Source organism: Homo sapiens, chromosome 11 (assembly GCF_000001405.40).
Source record: "Homo sapiens chromosome 11, GRCh38.p14 Primary Assembly".
Lineage (NCBI taxonomy): Eukaryota > Metazoa > Chordata > Mammalia > Primates > Hominidae > Homo > Homo sapiens.
Window position 1 is genome coordinate 129,245,900 of NC_000011.10, and position 17,125 is coordinate 129,263,024.

At 34.8% G+C, this 17,125-nt stretch overlaps 1 protein-coding gene and 1 long non-coding RNA gene across 8 annotated transcripts in view, besides 3 other annotated features; both read right to left on the bottom strand.

Moving 5' to 3' along the window:
• The window catches only part of ARHGAP32 (Rho GTPase activating protein 32), a 314,573-nt gene that overhangs the window by 280,840 nt on the left and 16,608 nt on the right, over nucleotides 1–17,125 (bottom strand). The window lies entirely within an intron of this gene.
• The window catches only part of LOC399975 (uncharacterized), a 49,387-nt gene that overhangs the window by 12,122 nt on the left and 20,140 nt on the right, over nucleotides 1–17,125 (bottom strand). The window lies entirely within an intron of this gene.
• Nucleotides 6,728–7,228: an enhancer, noted in NCBI's record as "OCT4-NANOG hESC enhancer chr11:129122522-129123022 (GRCh37/hg19 assembly coordinates)". NCBI's record gives its function as "activates a minimal SCP1, AML or CMV promoter by ChIP-STARR-seq in naive H9 embryonic stem cells {active_cell/tissue: H9 hESC(naive)}" and the evidence as "EXISTENCE:reporter gene assay evidence [ECO:0000049][PMID:30033119]".
• Nucleotides 14,048–14,192: an enhancer, noted in NCBI's record as "145 bp enhancer 230 fragment used in the MPRA reporter construct; PK_construct_1569". NCBI's record gives its function as "activates an SV40 promoter by MPRA in HepG2 cells {active_cell/tissue: HepG2}" and the evidence as "EXISTENCE:reporter gene assay evidence [ECO:0000049][PMID:23512712]".
• Nucleotides 14,114–14,127: a transcriptional cis regulatory region, noted in NCBI's record as "HNF4 motif; enhancer activity is reduced when this motif is scrambled". NCBI's record gives its function as "necessary for full MPRA enhancer 230 activity {active_cell/tissue: HepG2}" and the evidence as "EXISTENCE:site-directed mutagenesis evidence [ECO:0005528][PMID:23512712]".

A 17,125-nucleotide genomic window follows, 5' to 3' on the forward strand; every position in this document is an offset into this window, starting at 1 on the left:
ATAATTTATTGGAAGTTATTTCACAGTATTTTCTCAGATAAAAGGAAATCACTTAACCTACAAAGATATTCACTAAACCTTTGATAATATTTGATTCATTCATTTATTCAATGGATATTATTCAATAGATTAGCTATTCATTAAACATTTATTTATAGCTCATTGGAATCAGAAAACTATACTAGTCCCTGGGAATAAATCAATAAAATACAATCCCTGCCTTCAAGGGGAATGAGAATTTTTTAAGCATCAGAGTCATCTTGAGCTTGGGGAAATTGGTTCAAAGATCAGAAACTCATTTAAAGAGGGGTCCCCCTCATGTCAGTTGTAACACAGATTCCAAGAAAAAGTATTCTATTTCATACAGAGAAACGTACCCAAATGTGGCAGAACTAACGAAAGGTCAAAAATTTCAACCAAAGTATCATCAAATAAGGGACTCAGTTAGAAAAAGTAATAGCTGGGATAACACAATCTATAAAAGCATGAATAGTCCATAGACTTTGGGTCATCAAATTCAAAAATATAAATTAGTAAAATGTTTTGATAATGAATAAGATAAGTAAGAAAAAGATAAATTTTACTTCCCAAAGCATGAAATAAAATTATGAAAGCCAATACCTCGAAATCCAATAAAATGAACCAAAAAGGTTCTGGAAAAAATTGACACAAAGCTATAAATCACTAGTCAAAGAACCAGGGCAATACTTAACCTTTACGCGACAATCAGAGATGAAAATCATGCTCTCCCATAGCAGTAGACTATTTTTGACTATAGGTCACTAGTGGCAATTGAATGCTGAGATTAAATCTTTGGTTTGATCCATTTTAGCAATTTCTATTCGACCTTCTATCTCTGTAGGCATTTCAAACTAATTTTGCAGGGTGATCAATTATAACATTGGGGTGGGATTTTAAAAGGGCCTATCCTCTGCCTGTTTTCCTCCTCTCAAACGTGTCTCTACCATGAACCATGCTGTTAAAATAGGTCTTTTAAGAGAAGATGTGTATCATAATATCAGTGTTTCAGTTTGGAACCTGATGGTAGCTGATTTCACCTTCACATTCATTTCAGCTTAAAGGCAGCATTTCCCACAGAGTACCTCTTTTTTCCTCACTAGGTCTACCTTCCACGCTCTATAGTAAATACACTGACATAGTAGCAAGTCTCATTCATCATCTGGCCACAGGCCCAGCCATCCTTTGCATCTAGTAAATTGTTAATAATGTATATTAAATGATTAAAAACAATAAAATGCTTATTCCACAATTCTCAGGAGTAGAAAATTATTACGCCCCCATATAAACAACTCTTGGTTAAAGATCAAGTCTGTTTACATGCTAAAAGTATAAATGATGTGCAGACCCAGTTTTGTTCATCATTCAAAGCTGGATATGAGGCAAGTTGCCAGCAGTGATAAGATCTTAAACTGATTAAGTTCATTCCTATGTCTGTCTTCTCATGTATTCATACTTCCTGTTTCATGACTTCAAAGTAACCAGTAACTACTTTTTTAAGGATTTTAAAGACACCTCACAAACAACATACATCAAAGGAGGAGAAATATACAACTATTCTGACAATACTTCCTCCAAAATAAAAATGTACCAAATTATATTAATCTGCCTTCAAAGAAATTTATCTTAAAAATATGTTTATTTCATCTTCCAGTTTATATTAAAGGAAAAAAAGACTTTCTTTTACATCATATGAAAGGTATGATACAGCAATTTTCCATCCATCTTTTGAAGCACATTTTTAAAACATTAAAACACTGCAGAATTTATAAGCACAACCTTTGCATTCTAGTAGAAATGTTTTCAGGATAAAAAAAACTCTTGTAATAGCAAAACAGGAATAAAATATATGTTTTCAAAGCATTAACTACAAATAACTTAGAATTCTCCAAGTATTACAGGGAGAGGCATGCAATGGGCTGATCCCTCTATGGGTCATAAAATGAAATTCAGTCAATGGAAATTTTTCTTTTACTCATTTATTCTACCTTCAAATTAAATAAACTCTAAATTTATGCAACAAAAAGAAAATTAAAAAACCCAAACATCTTCCCCCTGAATTATTTATATACAATCTGACCAAATCATAGCATCTGATTAAAAGGAAAGTGAGGGCCGGGCGTGGTGGCTCACACCTGTAATCCCAGCACTTTGGGAGGCCGAGGCGGGCAGATCACGAGGTCAGGAGATCGAGACCATCCTGGCTAACACGGTGAAACCCCATCTCTACTAAAAATACAAAAATTAGCAAGGCGTGGTGGCAGGCACCTGTAGTCCCAGCTACTTGGCTGTCTCAAAAAAAAAAAAAAAAAAGGAAAGTGAAAGCTTATCTGATCCAGCCTATCTGACCATCTAGGAAAGATTTGTTTCCTTCTAGAAGTTCTATAAGCTTAACATTCCCTAATATCCAACTCAAAGCATTCTACATCAAGAATGACTTCCTTGCGATGCGATGCAGTGTTTTTATTTATGTCTTGGCTCCCGTTATTTCGATTTAAAATTTTAAAAATTTACTCTTAATCAAAATCTAAGTGAAAATCATTCTATGCTTCACCAACACCTCAACAACTCCTGAACAAAACATCTTTATAAGTAGTGCTCTGTGCCTAAATCACCCCAGCCTCCTTTTACTTAAGCTAACTAGGACATTTTCCAACCTTTTGATTATTCTTTTGTTGTGGTATTGTTTTCTGTGCTGTCTACAGATAAATAATACATATAAACGTCATAACACAGTGCCTGGAATATAAGTCTTTAAAAATGTTATCACTATTATTAGTTTCTCATATACTTCCAAAAACCTGACTGAATCCTCCTCTCCTCCTTTTCCTGTACACGTGCTTCCCCATCAGTACTGCTGATGACTCAAGCTAGAGTTAACTATGACCATGTGTTTTTTTCTGCTGTATTTGCATTTAGCCATAACCTTGTGTACTCAGCTTTACTGTGTGCCTATTGTGTCCCAGGTACTGTGCAAAACATAGTATATAGTGAATAAAGCAGGCATGGTCTCTGTCCTCATGGAGCTTGGAGTCCATTTCCTCTAAACGTGGTCACTTAGCAAACCAAAAGAAAAAGATAACACAATGCCACACGAATTAGCTCTTACAACAAATGGTGCAAATGGTAATGAATTAGATAAAAAGATTAACAGGTTTCCATAAGACAGAGGATACATTTAAAAGAGAATCTTTCTAGAATTCATTAAGAACAGCACAAAATATCCTAGATAACCAATGAGTAAAGCAACTACATGGCAAGTTAAAAATATAAAGACACTACTGAGACACACCAAAAAAAAACTTTGCAGTCTATAAGGTGAAGAGGATTGGGTTTCACTAAAAAAACAGTAATACTCTTTATATACATACAGTATGTATTAAAAAAAGTAATACTCATACATATATATATATACACACACACATACATATATACATACACCAGAGTGCAAATCAACTCAGAAGTATCAATTCGAAAGGATTTCGCATATCTATAAAAAGTACTCTGCACTGGTATTAATACTGAGATTTTTTTATTACCAGTAGATACTTATAAAGACAGATGCTAATGCCAGGTCTCAACTGCAGACTACAATCTAAGACACTGCTGCTGACTCACTGTTACACAATTAAAGCGGTTTCCCAAAGTAGACTCATTTTCTACCACATGAAAATCTATCCCGAACTGTTTTCCAATATGTGGAATTCTTGAAGGGCTGCAATTCAAGAGTGAGACTATAAGAAGAAGAAAGCCATAAACTAGATCAAGTTTATTCACTCAAGAAATGACTAAATAAGGAAACAAATGGAATAACAGAAACATTTGATATCCACCACACCTTAATTTAGTCCTTTAAAAAAGTTTTGGGTTTTTTTAATGAAAACATCTAGAGGCAGCAATACTAGAAACAGCAATGCTGGTACTCTGAAATCCAGTAAATCCAGAATTAGACTCCAACTTTGCCACTTAACTGGTTGTTTGATGTCAATTAATGTTCCCCTTTAAGACTGTGAGGCAGGGCGTGGTGGCTCACACCTGTAATCTCAGCACTTTAGGAGGCTGATGCGGGAGGACCACTTGAGCCCAGGAGTTCTAGGACCAACCTGGGCAACATAGGGAGATCTCATTTCTACAAAAAAAAAAAAATTAATTAGCTGGGTGTGGTAGTACATGCCTGTGGTCCCAGCTGCTCAGGAGGGTGAAGTGGGAGGACTGCTTGAGCACAAGAGGTTGAGGCTGCAATGAGCTATGATCACACCACTGCACTCCAGCCTGGGCAACAGAGCAAGCCTCTGTCAGTGATACCCCCCTGAAAAACAGGGAAAACACAAATTTCTGTATTTTCTGTTATACTTCTGATAAACATGTGTTAAGAGGAATGTAATCACTAACTGCTGTGAAGATTTTGTTGGTGTCTATTTTCCCTAATTATCTTATGCCACTGAACTATAACCTGTGAAATGATAACTCATTTTACATATTGAATTACTACCGCAAAACTTATTATCCTGGAACCCTGAATACTATTATTTCTTAATATTGATAGCCATGATGAATAAGGACAGCAATTTATCTACAACACAACTTTTAAAAAATTAATCAGGTTGAATTTGTGGGAAATTTTTAATAAACCATACTTTGAAAACCATGCTATTGCTGACTAACAACTGGTTCCTACAGAACACTGAGGCTTCATTCCAGCCTCCTCCTACCATCCAAAGTGAAACCTTATACCTCTTTGTTTGGCTCTAATGAAAATTCTCACTTTCTATCCTGTAGCAGAATTATTTCTGAAACTATCATAAGCTTTTCAACAGTCTCATTTTTTAACACATTTGTATTTCTGTTAATAGCTCCATGGTATTTTTCATTCAATTGAAAGAGTTTTAACTATTATGACATTAAAAAGAAAAGCAAGAAGGAAGAAAATTAACTAGCTTACATATGTCATACCTCACACTTAATCTTCGTAGAAATCACACCATTCAGCACACCCATAAGCAGTGTATGAATTCTACTATTTTTGCCTTTTAAATAGTTATTTATCCAAGTAACAAATACTAAAAAGTTACACTGCATGCTAAAATCCAACCTCAAATTTGGCTTAAATCAAGAAAATATCTAAGAATTTAAATCAGCAAGTTGCAATTTCTCAGATACTGGTTAAGAGAATTCTAAAACAATAGACAAGAAAGTAAACGGATCCTATCTTGATGAGGCACCACTAAGTAACTCCAAAGGTGCTGATGATGAGGTAATGAAGTTGGCAAAAATGCCATTACTTTTATCTAGTTTACAGACTCTCCTTTTTCTCAAGCATCTCTTCTCTCTTTCAATGAAATACGATGTGCTCCAAAAACCTAGGCTATGAAATACGATTCTAACTAAATGAGTCATTTCCATCACCCTACATCACAGAACCTTAGAACAGCCTAAGTAGAAATTGTGCCTCTGACTATAAAAAACATATGGTAGAAAACAGTAAACTTCTAAAAATAAGCAGTCTATATAAATATATGAAAATGTATTTAGGAAAACAGAAAATGACATCTAAGTTGCTTAAGCTCAATGTTTAAGTGCAACTAAATTTTAACATGACATATTTGACAGAAATCTGTCTAATGATCATACTGAAACACATCAACAATATATGAATTACATATATTTATAACCACATTTATCAAAGAAATAAAGCAGAAAATACTGAAGGTTAAAAACAACAAAGTACCAGCCCAGCGCGGTGGCTCACACCTATAATCCCAGCTTGGGAGGCCGAGGTGGGGGGATCACCAGATCAGGAGATTGAGACCATCCAGGCCAACACGGTGAAACCCCGACTCTATTAAAAATACAAAAAAAAAAAAAAATCAGCTGGGTGTGGCGAGGTGTGCCTGTAATCCCAGCTACTCGGGGAGGCTGATGCAGGAGAACTGTTTGAACCCAGGAGGCGGAGGTTGCAGTGAGCTGAGATTGTGCCACTGCACTCCAGCCTAGTGACAGAGCTAGACTTCATCTCAAAAAAAAAAAAAAAGTACCATTACCACAAATAAGCCAGTATGATTATGTGCTTCAGCCTTGTATTGTCACCACTACAGAAAAAGTAAATAATAATATCAACTATTATAATTACAATAATTCAAATATAATTTAAATATCAATTATTAAAAGTAGTAATATCAATTTATAGTTTTAGACCAATTCTAAATTAACTTTAACTTTACATCTACAGTATACTTGTATCGTCTTTAACACCTTTACCATCACTTACACTAATTGGTTTATTTCCAATTTTACAGCTTTACTCTCAACTGTAGTCGTGTCTAATTTTGATTAGCAATAGAAGAACACAACAAACTCCTACTCTCGAAAACTGGGTAAGAGGCAAGAACGGTTAGCTAATTAATAGATGGTACTTGTGCTAACTGTACTGTTTTCAGGACAATGGGTATGCTAATAATACACTGTTTTCACTTAACAGTTTATCTGGCAACTTCGGTCCTTGAGAGCGGATTCCAACTCATTAAAGATATTTACTGAACTGGGCAAAATATTGATCACCATTAAGAATTAGCTCTTCTTCTTAACTAAACACACACAAAAGAGTAAAACAGTCCAGTAAAGCATCAATAGAAGCAAGCGATTAGATATAAAGGGCAGCAGAAGAGGTCTTCCAAATTCATCTGAGTAGGAGGGGCAAGGTTCAAGTGTATCTGGATTTGCATACAATTTTGCTACGTGAATTTGCATTAAAGCAAGAATATACTGCCATAAAGTACTACGACTGATGCCAGCATGCAAAGAGGTAAATGACTATTAACCGTAAAAGAACCACAGTCTCGGGGAGGCTACCTCCTTGTTCCAATGGAGCTTGCTGCTGTGGTTCACAACATGAAAGCCTTTGTAAACGCTAATCCCTCTACTCAGCATGGGCTAGCTCCTTTCTGGACTAAACATTAAACTCACTAGGGAATCCCCACCTAGAGAAGCTCCCTGAATCTTGCATATGCATCTTAGTAGTTATTCTGGCTTGAAAATAGAGGAAGAATGAACTGGAATCAGTTAGGTTTTGGCCAAACAGAACAATAAGGAGGCTGCAGCAACAACTGGAGAGAGAATATCTTTCACAACTAGGGTAGCAGCACTGGAGATGGAGAGAGGCAGACAAATTTGAGTGGTTTAAAAGGTATAAAAGTATAACTCTACAGATCAAATAAGCTGAGATATGTTTTGGGGGAAGGAACTGCCAGATAAAGATCCATTAAGAGTCTCTTCCCTACTCTATTCACTATCTTGCTTTGCTTCTTAAACAGGCACTTAGTGATATTTAAGTAGACAAATTATGTCTGTGAATAAGGACATATTTTGTGTTACCAAATATGGTCATAATGTATGGCTAGGTAGGTACACACTCTCACTATTTTTCAATCCTAGCAAAAAGAGTGATAGATAGGAAACATAATACATAAAGAACATGTAGCACATGTTTATTTTAGATGCTCTTGTTTCCACAAGCACTCATAAACAGAGCCACAATATTTTCAGAAAGAATACGCTTTGCATGGAGTGCAAAAGTCTAAATCTAACTAGTTTATACACTATTAACTAAATTACATGTTGAGGAAAAGTAGCCCACAATATGTGAAAATCTGATACTAACACATTGTACTAAGAACCTTATACTTAATTGGAATAGAAAGCCTGAATCCTCATAGGGCAATCAAAAATTACTTATTATTATTAGTATGCAAATTCAAGTAGTACAAGTACAATATGTTTATAAACCTGAGGTATCCAACTCTGGTTGGAAAGTTCTGTGGTAACAGGAATCATATCTATTTTAATTATCTTTATATTCTAGTGCTTACAAAGTGTTTGAAAATTAATATGCACTCCATAAAGGTCTGTTCAACAAATGCTGTCACTGAGATCACTGGGTCACCATATGTACCTGATCCACTAACAGAGGAAAATTTCTGCCCATAATACAGTTATATAAATACACTGTGACCGATATCATAGAAAAGTCGGGTTGGTTAGTTATTCTAACTGAAATAGGATATAATTATGTGGTGTTAACTGTTCAAGTTTAATTCCATTAAAATTACATTATAAATGAAATGGTGCATCTTTATTTGTAATTAGAAGTAAATAAGTGTGATCATAGCTTTAGATGCCTAACTCACATTCAGTTCAAATATTTGACAAGCATGACCCCTACGCCCTTGTAACTCACCATTTATTAATTGAAAGGGGGGGAAATATTTATACAGCCCATGTGCACATAGATCTGTGATCATTAGTAACCTATTTTTAAAAGTAGAAAAAAGGTTCCCCAAAGTTAGTATAGGGATCATATATTTTCAATTTCCTAAGATAGTCCCAATTTTAAAGAATGTATCATATTTGATGACATGTCATATGGGAATCTGGAATACAGTCACTGCATCCCAAAGGCTCACTGCTTCCCTTCCTCCTTCCCATTCTCCACCCCACAAAGAAAATAAGTAAACATGATTTTAAAATGGTCACTTTTGAAGATAAATAGTAACTATTTTACATAAAAACCTTAGCATTTCCTCCAACAGAAGCAATGTGAAATGGAAGGGGAAAGAAGGCAGGGCACTGAGAACAAACTTCTTTAAACTGTCAATATCAAGTTGGTACTAACAAAGATCATTGCCTTTAAATGTCACACACAGATAATTAATTCTTCCAAATAGATTCAGTCTTATTTTTATTTCACTATTCCTGTTTCACCTTTTTAAGCAAACTAATTTCCAAACATGGCATCTACGGAGCTGGTCATAATGATAAAGGAAACAACTGGTTACTTACAAATGAGAAAATTAAGTATCAGCACACTGAAATGCACACATTTGAACTAGATATTTTACTACTGAACACTGCAGTGATTTATGCTAAAAATGAGCAATGATTTTAAATGTGATGTATTGTGTGTACACCAATAAATTATTTTCTGTTCACTCAATAAATCTGAAAATCCATTAAGAGGCTAGAAGTCTAGCTAGGTTCTCTTGATGGCTAACTGGATTAATGCCAGTATTTCAGTCAGCTGGTTGAGGGATGCTGTATGGTCAAAGTTAGAAGACATACAAAATAAATATTAACTCCACCTAACCAGTTGACAATCCTCAGTGTTAGCTAAGGCCATCTTAAGGAAGAATAAAGCTGGATACATTAAAACTAACAGGTAACCAAACGTGTCATAAAGTTATAATAATTGGAACAGCACAGTATTTGCTGAAGGGTAGGAAAAATAACAGAAGAGAATAAACAAAGTCGAGTAACGACCCACACGTATGTGGTTTACCTGATTTACAACAAAGCTGACACTGCAATGCAATTGAAAAGGATCATCTTTTTAATAAATGGTGCTGACTCTACTAAATCTCATGTGAAAATAAGGTACTGTGACCCCCAACTCACATCCTACACAAAAAGCATTACAGAAAAAATGCAGATCTAAACACAAAAGATAAAACCATAAAGCTTTTACAGAAGAAAATAAAACAGATCATCTCTCAGACATTAGAGTAGGCAAAAATCTTTTTTAACTGTATCCAAAAAGCACTAACCATAAAGAAAAACATGATACACTGGACTATATTAAGACCTAGGCCTCAAAAGACACTTAAAGAAACAAAGATGTAACCCAGACAGCAGGAAAAGATACTCACAATACAAGTATCTGACAAAAAACTAGTAGTCAGAATATAAAAAAGACTCTCACAAACAAGACAAATGACCCAACAGAAAAATGGGCAAAAGGCATAAACAGGCACTTCACAAAAGATACACCCACCAGAAGGACTACGTTAAAAACAATGACATCAAGTGCTGATGAGAATGCAGAGGAGCTTAAACTCTCATTTGTTACTGATACCCTATGATCCAGGGATTCTACTCCAAAGTATACATTCAACAGAATGCTTACGTATGTTTACCAAAAGATATGTTGTAGGATGTTCTCAGGAGTAATATTCGTAAGTCAAAACTGAAAACAATCCAAATGCCCACCAACAGTAGATAAGTTGAGATGCAGTCACATAATGGAATGCTATACAGCAATGAGAATGTATATAATTACATATAATAATATGGATAAATTTTATAGACAATGCTGAGCAAAAGACACCAGAGACAAAAGAATATGTTCTGCGCAATTCCAGCATATAAAATAAGACAGGCAAAAACAAATCCATGCTGTTAGAAGCCTGCATGCTGACAACCCACAAGGACAATCAAGCTTCACTTCTTGATCAGATGCTAGTCACATATATGTTCAGGCTGTGAGAAGTCATAGAGTTGAATATGTATGTTCTATGCACGTACTCAACATGTGTATGATACATGAAAAAGTTTAAAATTTTTAAAAAGGAAAAAAAAGACCGCAATTAATTCTGGTATGGAGGGAGATAAGGTCAGCAGTCAAATTCCTGTCCTTGACCAATCCAAATGACCCTAATTGTGCTATAACTACATGGACATTCTCTCCAATCAGAGGGAGCTCTATGGTTTCAATATAGATTATGTAGCAAGATGAAGCCGGGGACTTAAACTGAGAGAGGATGAAATGACAGTGAGAAATGCTACAGGCTATTTTTGAAAGGCAAGAAACCCTCCAGAAGTAACCAACATCCATCCAATTGGATATCCAGCTGGTCCAATCAAGTCTAAAGGAAATAATTCCAAAAATCTCAGAGACTTCTGGATTTGAAGTCGGATAACATCCCTTGTTAAACTGTAAGAAGAATCCAAATCTCCTGAAAGAATATCATAACGGGCATGTAAATTATCATATCAGTTAGGGATAATGTTTAGATGCATGTAAAAAGAAGTCCAAACTATAGTGGCTTAAGATAGGGCTTTATTTTCCTCACGAAATGTAAGTTCAGAGAGAAGCGCTTGCTGACATTGGTTTGGCAGTTCAAGAACATAAGGGCTAAGACTTCCGCGAATCTCTTAGCCTTTCCCTAAAAGTCTCTAGAATACTGCTACAGCTTGTCATCATGTCTAATTTCTAGGCAGGAGGAAAGAGAAATGGCTAAAAGGGCTTTCCCAAAAGCTTCGTCTAGAAATTTCTGCATACATCTCACTGACCAGGACTAGATCACATGGCTACCTCAGTAGGAAGGGAAGCTAAGACATTGATAGTTTTTAAGCTAGGCACAAAAAGCTTTGTGTTTTGCTTCTAACAAAATTTAAATTCTATTAGAAAGGAAAAGGGAAGAAATGAACCTCAGACAAGTAGGAAAAATCTGCTATACCATGGTGTGCACTTGATAATGTTTACCAATATTGAAATATTTTTTAAGTCTAGCAACTTACAAGTTTGTGACTTATGGCACTAGAAGCAATTCTCTGTGGTACAAGTCTGGGAACTATTTTTCTAAAGCATCTTTCATATTATTTACCACAGGAGGAAAATGTAGAAAAGTTCAGGTACTATAAAAGGCAGGGCACAGTCACCATTTCTTCAGTTAGTAGCTATAGAGCAATGTCAAGACTGTTTTCATTTCAGATCTCAATTTTAGTATTTAAAAAAACAACTACAGCCAGGCATGATGATGCATGCCTATAACCCCAGCTACTCAAAAGGCTAAAGCAGAAGGATCACTTGAGCTCAGGAGTTCAAGTCCAGACTGGGCAACATAACAAAACTTTGTTGCTTAAAAATAAATAATTCATTAATTTTTAAAATTACAGAAAACATTGAATAAGTTTTCTAAATACTCAGTTCTTAGAAGCAGTAAGTTAATAATTAACCAAAAAAAAAAAAAAAACAGAACTTCTTAAATCCTAAACAGAGTACTTACTTCCTGACAAATTTTTTTCAGAATGAACAATGAAATCTCAGTCTACCCCTTCTGACCCAAAGCATTATTTGCTATTCATCCAAATTAACTTAACACTGGCCATTTCATAAAATCAAGTAATGTGGCATTTATCTGATGATATATAGTCATCAGAATGTAAACTTTTACTCTTAGAATAGGTGTGAAAAATGCTATTATTTACCTAATATTTTCCATATTCTTCAGTCTTCTTTATCTTTTCCCTTCATAAAACATGTCAATAAAATGAACAGTTCAAAAAAGTCTTATTTTTGTCTAAAATAGCAATGTAATACATTTCATGTTAAGATTTCTTTAAAGGGAATATTCAATTCACTAATGTTATATGGCAATTTTATAGCACTTTGTCAAATATATGTTCTATGCTGTGCTATGGTTTGTTTTTTCTCTATTAAACAACTATCATATTAAAATCTAAACCAAATTCAACCATCAGAGGAGAGAATTTAATCAAAATAAACCAAAACTAAAACTGAGTAAAAGATACATTGATCAACCCCAGGTGGTTGAGTTTAACTTTCTGAATCTGTGAGCCATTTAAAGATTGTCTCCTCCATCAGGTAAGGCGATCTGATGGCTGCAGACCCCGGTGTTCTGATTCCTTCTCGTTTCCTTTAGACTGGGATCTGAAAGGCAGCCTGCTATCTGCAGCAGTATGTGCCTGCCACGTCCCTCTTTTTAACTTCTTCCAGCTCCGAGCTCCCACTCTATCCACCATTTTCCCTACAGCCAAACTTTCTCCTTCACAGTCACAGTCCCCTTCACCCCAAATCTCTGCCTCCACTAAGGAACTAGCCTCCCAGATAACCCACTCCTGGAGGCCCTAGTTGTCTTAGGCATTTAAGACAGATGCACAAAAAGAGCTTAAAGAACTTCTGCCAGTAAATTATTGTATTTCTTAAGAGTAGCTGATAAATCGAGACTCAAAGCTAAACTTCCTAAATAATTTTTCACAGGACTATGATGAACAAATTCTCCAACTATCAACCAGTTAAGATTTTATTTTAAATTTTTGATAAATCAGTATTTTAACACATACTGGAAAGTTAATAGTCAACCACTTTTCTTATTATAACTACTGTACTAATTTTTCCCATCTTACCCCTATCAGGTACCAAGACAATACAGCTAATGAAATCATAAACTCAATCCCAGTGACTCCAGTTAAGCAATATGATGACAGATTTCTGCACTCTATCATAACCTATGAGCTAAATTATGGTGCTAGCCACTAGTCATAAAGAGAACTACCTAAAAGTATATGAAATAATACGCACAAATGCATTACTGATGGGAAAAAGGAACCACTTCAAAACACATGCACTATGTAATGGCAAATTGGTACATTAACTTCAAATATAAACATCTTCATAATTTATTAATCATGTGTAAGACAGGATATGCAACAATATAAACTAGAACCAGCTTTTTCTCCAAAATGGAAAGATTAGTATTGAATACTCAGCTCTTTCTAAAGACAACAAAACTGAAATAAAGTCGTGTTTGGGCCCAGTTTGAACACTGGCTAGGGCAAATAAGAGAACTATATACAATGGCTGCAAAAGAGATACTGTTATTTATGATATTTTCATACTGAGAGATGTTACTAGTTTTTTGTTAAGCACTTTGGAAGAAAAAAAAGAGTACTGCAAATGCCATTATTCCTCTCTCACACACACACAAAAAAATACTTTTCCTGTACATTTATTACTTCACTCATTCATTTGACAAATACAGGTTTCACTCTCAGAATAATGCCCAACATTTAAGCAATGTAAAAAAAAAAAAAAATAAGCTAAGGAATTAGTGTGACCCAGATATAGAAGCATTTTCCAACCATAGAACTGGAAGATAGCTTTTAATAAGAACATAATAAGAACTGCAGAGGAAGAAACCACAAGCACCTACCAGCCTTGTCAATGCATAAAATGGCAGTAATTAACGTTGCCATTTTTGTAAGTGGAGACAGTATTTTTAATGACTATCACTTTGGGATATGAATATCTAATTAGATTTTGCTATGCAGACATGAGATTCTTCTGAGACCAGTAAGAATTTCTTCCAATTAAGCTTTTTGTTTGTTTTGTTTTTTGTTTTTTTGTTTTTCTGGAGTAGGGTCATTCAACAATTCTGTAGAAAACAAGGAGAAAGCATATCCCAAGTCTACTGGCAGCTTTTCCCATTCTCAAACAATCCCTTGTTCAGATGCACAGCCACAGAAGTTCAAAGGTCACTGGCATCTTTGTGCTCAGTTCCATGGTAGTTACAAACAAACTTTTGTCTCCATTCCTTCAATGAAATGGGCTGCAACAACTCACTGATTGAACTTTTACATCTGAGACCGGCATGAGCATTACACAACTGAAGAGCCATAGTATTTCATTTACACTTCAACCATAAATTATTAAACCTCCTTTGTGAAATAAAACAATTTGTTTACGTGGGCATAAAAAACTGATAATTCTAGTCAAACACAAATAACATCACTGGCGGCAATGGTCTTATGATTTCTTATCATAATTATCATACCTCTGATAACATTGTTTTGAAAGCTTTTGTTGACTGTTCTTCAGGGTTTTTCTCACCCTGTCTCTATCTTAAATCATGAAAGATAAAAAGTGAATAAATTTATTACGGGCTTTCATACAGAGTTATAAACTAAAACTTCTTTCTTAAAATGTGATAATAAATATATTTAAATAAGAAATCTCAGTTGTGACATTTATTTTCAAATAGAAAAAAGTCTTAAAAAATAAGCTCCTCATTCTGTAACTGCGAAACACCTTAGTATGATCATGTAAAATATAATATTGTCTTTATCTATATACTTTAATAACTCTTTAAACATAAAAATCAAACATTTAACTGTTTAAGCTGTCTACCTTAAAGCATCCGTTTTAAAAATAAATTCCTACTACTTTCTTGCGCTAAAGGCAACCTCCAAAATCTTAGCACAATAAAATATGTTACAGCTGAGCAATCAAAAAATAATTACTCCCAAAAATATTAGCCAATAATTAATCTAAAAAGGGTTACATAAGCATCTCTGAAATAACTTTTTTAGCAGCTAGGCTGCAAACTCCTACATGAACACAAACCAACTGAATCATGATGCTGAAAGGATCAAACAACTTTGCCAGAACAAAGATAAGAAACAGTTTCCTCCAAACAGAAAACTTTCCATAACTATTTCTAAATAAGGCAAACACTTCTAGAAAGCTGAAAATACTACTTAAAATATCCTGAGCCACCACAGGGTGCTAAACGCCACACTCCTCAGAAAAAAAAATGGGTCCAATCTCCTATTTTTTTTTTAACTTTAATGAGCTTAGAGTGGAGAGAAACACAGCTGAAAGCAGCAAAAAGGAAATAAAAGATCACAGGAATTCAGAAATATTGTTGAAATTGGTATAAAGTGGCTCGGATTAGGTTAAATAAAAGAAAAATGGTCTAAAGGAAAAAAGGAAAAGTTATTCCAGATTTTTTCACATAAAATCAAGTAACTCAGAAATGTTTCCAAACCACTGGTGCCATTATAGATTCAGTTAAACAAGAATTTATTTTTTTCTGCTTTTACTAAAATCCATAATCCTGAAACACTAAGAATATCATAATATTTTACATACCACTAATCTGGGTAAGCCTAATCCAAAGGATTTCTAAAACTTTTCTCCTGTTTTAGACTTCCCCTCCTATCTTTCAAGAGGTCAGCCTAGATGGAATAGGTCCGGTTACATTAATTCAGTTGTCTATGTGTGCAAGCCTGGCCCCCATTTCGACTAGACAGAAATGCTAAAAGAAAGCCAGTAAAAACCAAGCATTTTTTGTTTCCACCTCTCTTCTGTGTTAAACAACTTGGTGCTGAGGAATTCACCAGAGTTTTCAGGAAATACTCTTAAGTAAATAAATGGATGAAAACTGCTTCTTATTGGGAGCAAACAGCTGAAAAGGCAATTTGTTCTGTTAATCAAAGGTAATTTTGACTTAAACATCTCAGTAAATGATCCCTATATTAATGGTGCAACTGTTAAAAAAGGAAACCAAAACATATTAGAATCTTATTTGGCAATAAAATGCAATAGTATATAGAAATCCCTTTGTTGCTGTAACAAGAAAAAAATCTTCAAGTTCTGATGATTTTTACAGCTAAACTTAGAGATGTTTATGTTTAGCGATTACCATAACACCAAATGACACATGAAGGTGGAGTTTTATATACACAGGGAAATAATGTCTGCCTTTTAAAACACACAAATTAAGAGAAAATACGGAAACCTGACAAAATGTTCACGAACAATATTTACTTATGAAAGAATAAACCTGGCATGCCAGACTAATAAAATAGAATTAAAATAGATCTTGCAAACTTTTAATTTTTCCTCATGCGCCAAAAAAAAAGTCTGTATTATCTTCAAATCATTCTGTCTCTCATGTTTTTTTAATTCCTAACAATATAAATGGCATAAAGGAAGCCCCTAATTTTTATTCCCCACAAAACCACTTCTAATAGGTAGTAAATATCTACTGAATTAATGTTGATATATTCATTTAACCCACCTTACAAATAAACAGCTTTAAATATAGCAAAAGCTACTTTTTTTTTTTTTTGAGATGGAGCCCTTGTCTGTCGCTCAGACTATAGTGCAGTGGCGCAATCTTGGCTCACCGCAGCCTCCACCTTCTGGGTTCAAGCGATTCTTATGTCTCAGCCTCCCTAGTAGCTGGGATTACAGGCATATGCCACCATACCTGGCTAATTTTTGTATTTTTTTTAGTAGACAGGGTTTCACCAGGGGGTTTCACATGTCGGCCAAGCTGGTCTCAAACTCCTGACCTCCAGTGATCTGCCTGCCTTGGCCTCCCAAAGTGCTGGGATTACAGACACGGGCCACCAGGCCCAGCCCAAAACTACTATTTTAAAACCATTTCAAAGTCGTTTTATAAGGCCTGGCAGAACTACAAAAATCCTGGGAGAAGACTGCAACACACCAAAAAAAAAACCTCACAACCCTAAAAACCTTCACTTTATTTTACTGTACCAAATATAAATTACTTCAAGGTTAACGAATTCTTTTTAAAAATATGTTAATATTGTCTATCAGTCACACCTCAATGTCAATCACCTCCTCTATAAAATTAGTATGAGTACTAGTATATATAGTCAAATGATTTTCTACAGGAGTGTGAAGACCATTTAACTGGGAAAGGACAGTCTTCAACAAACGGTTCTG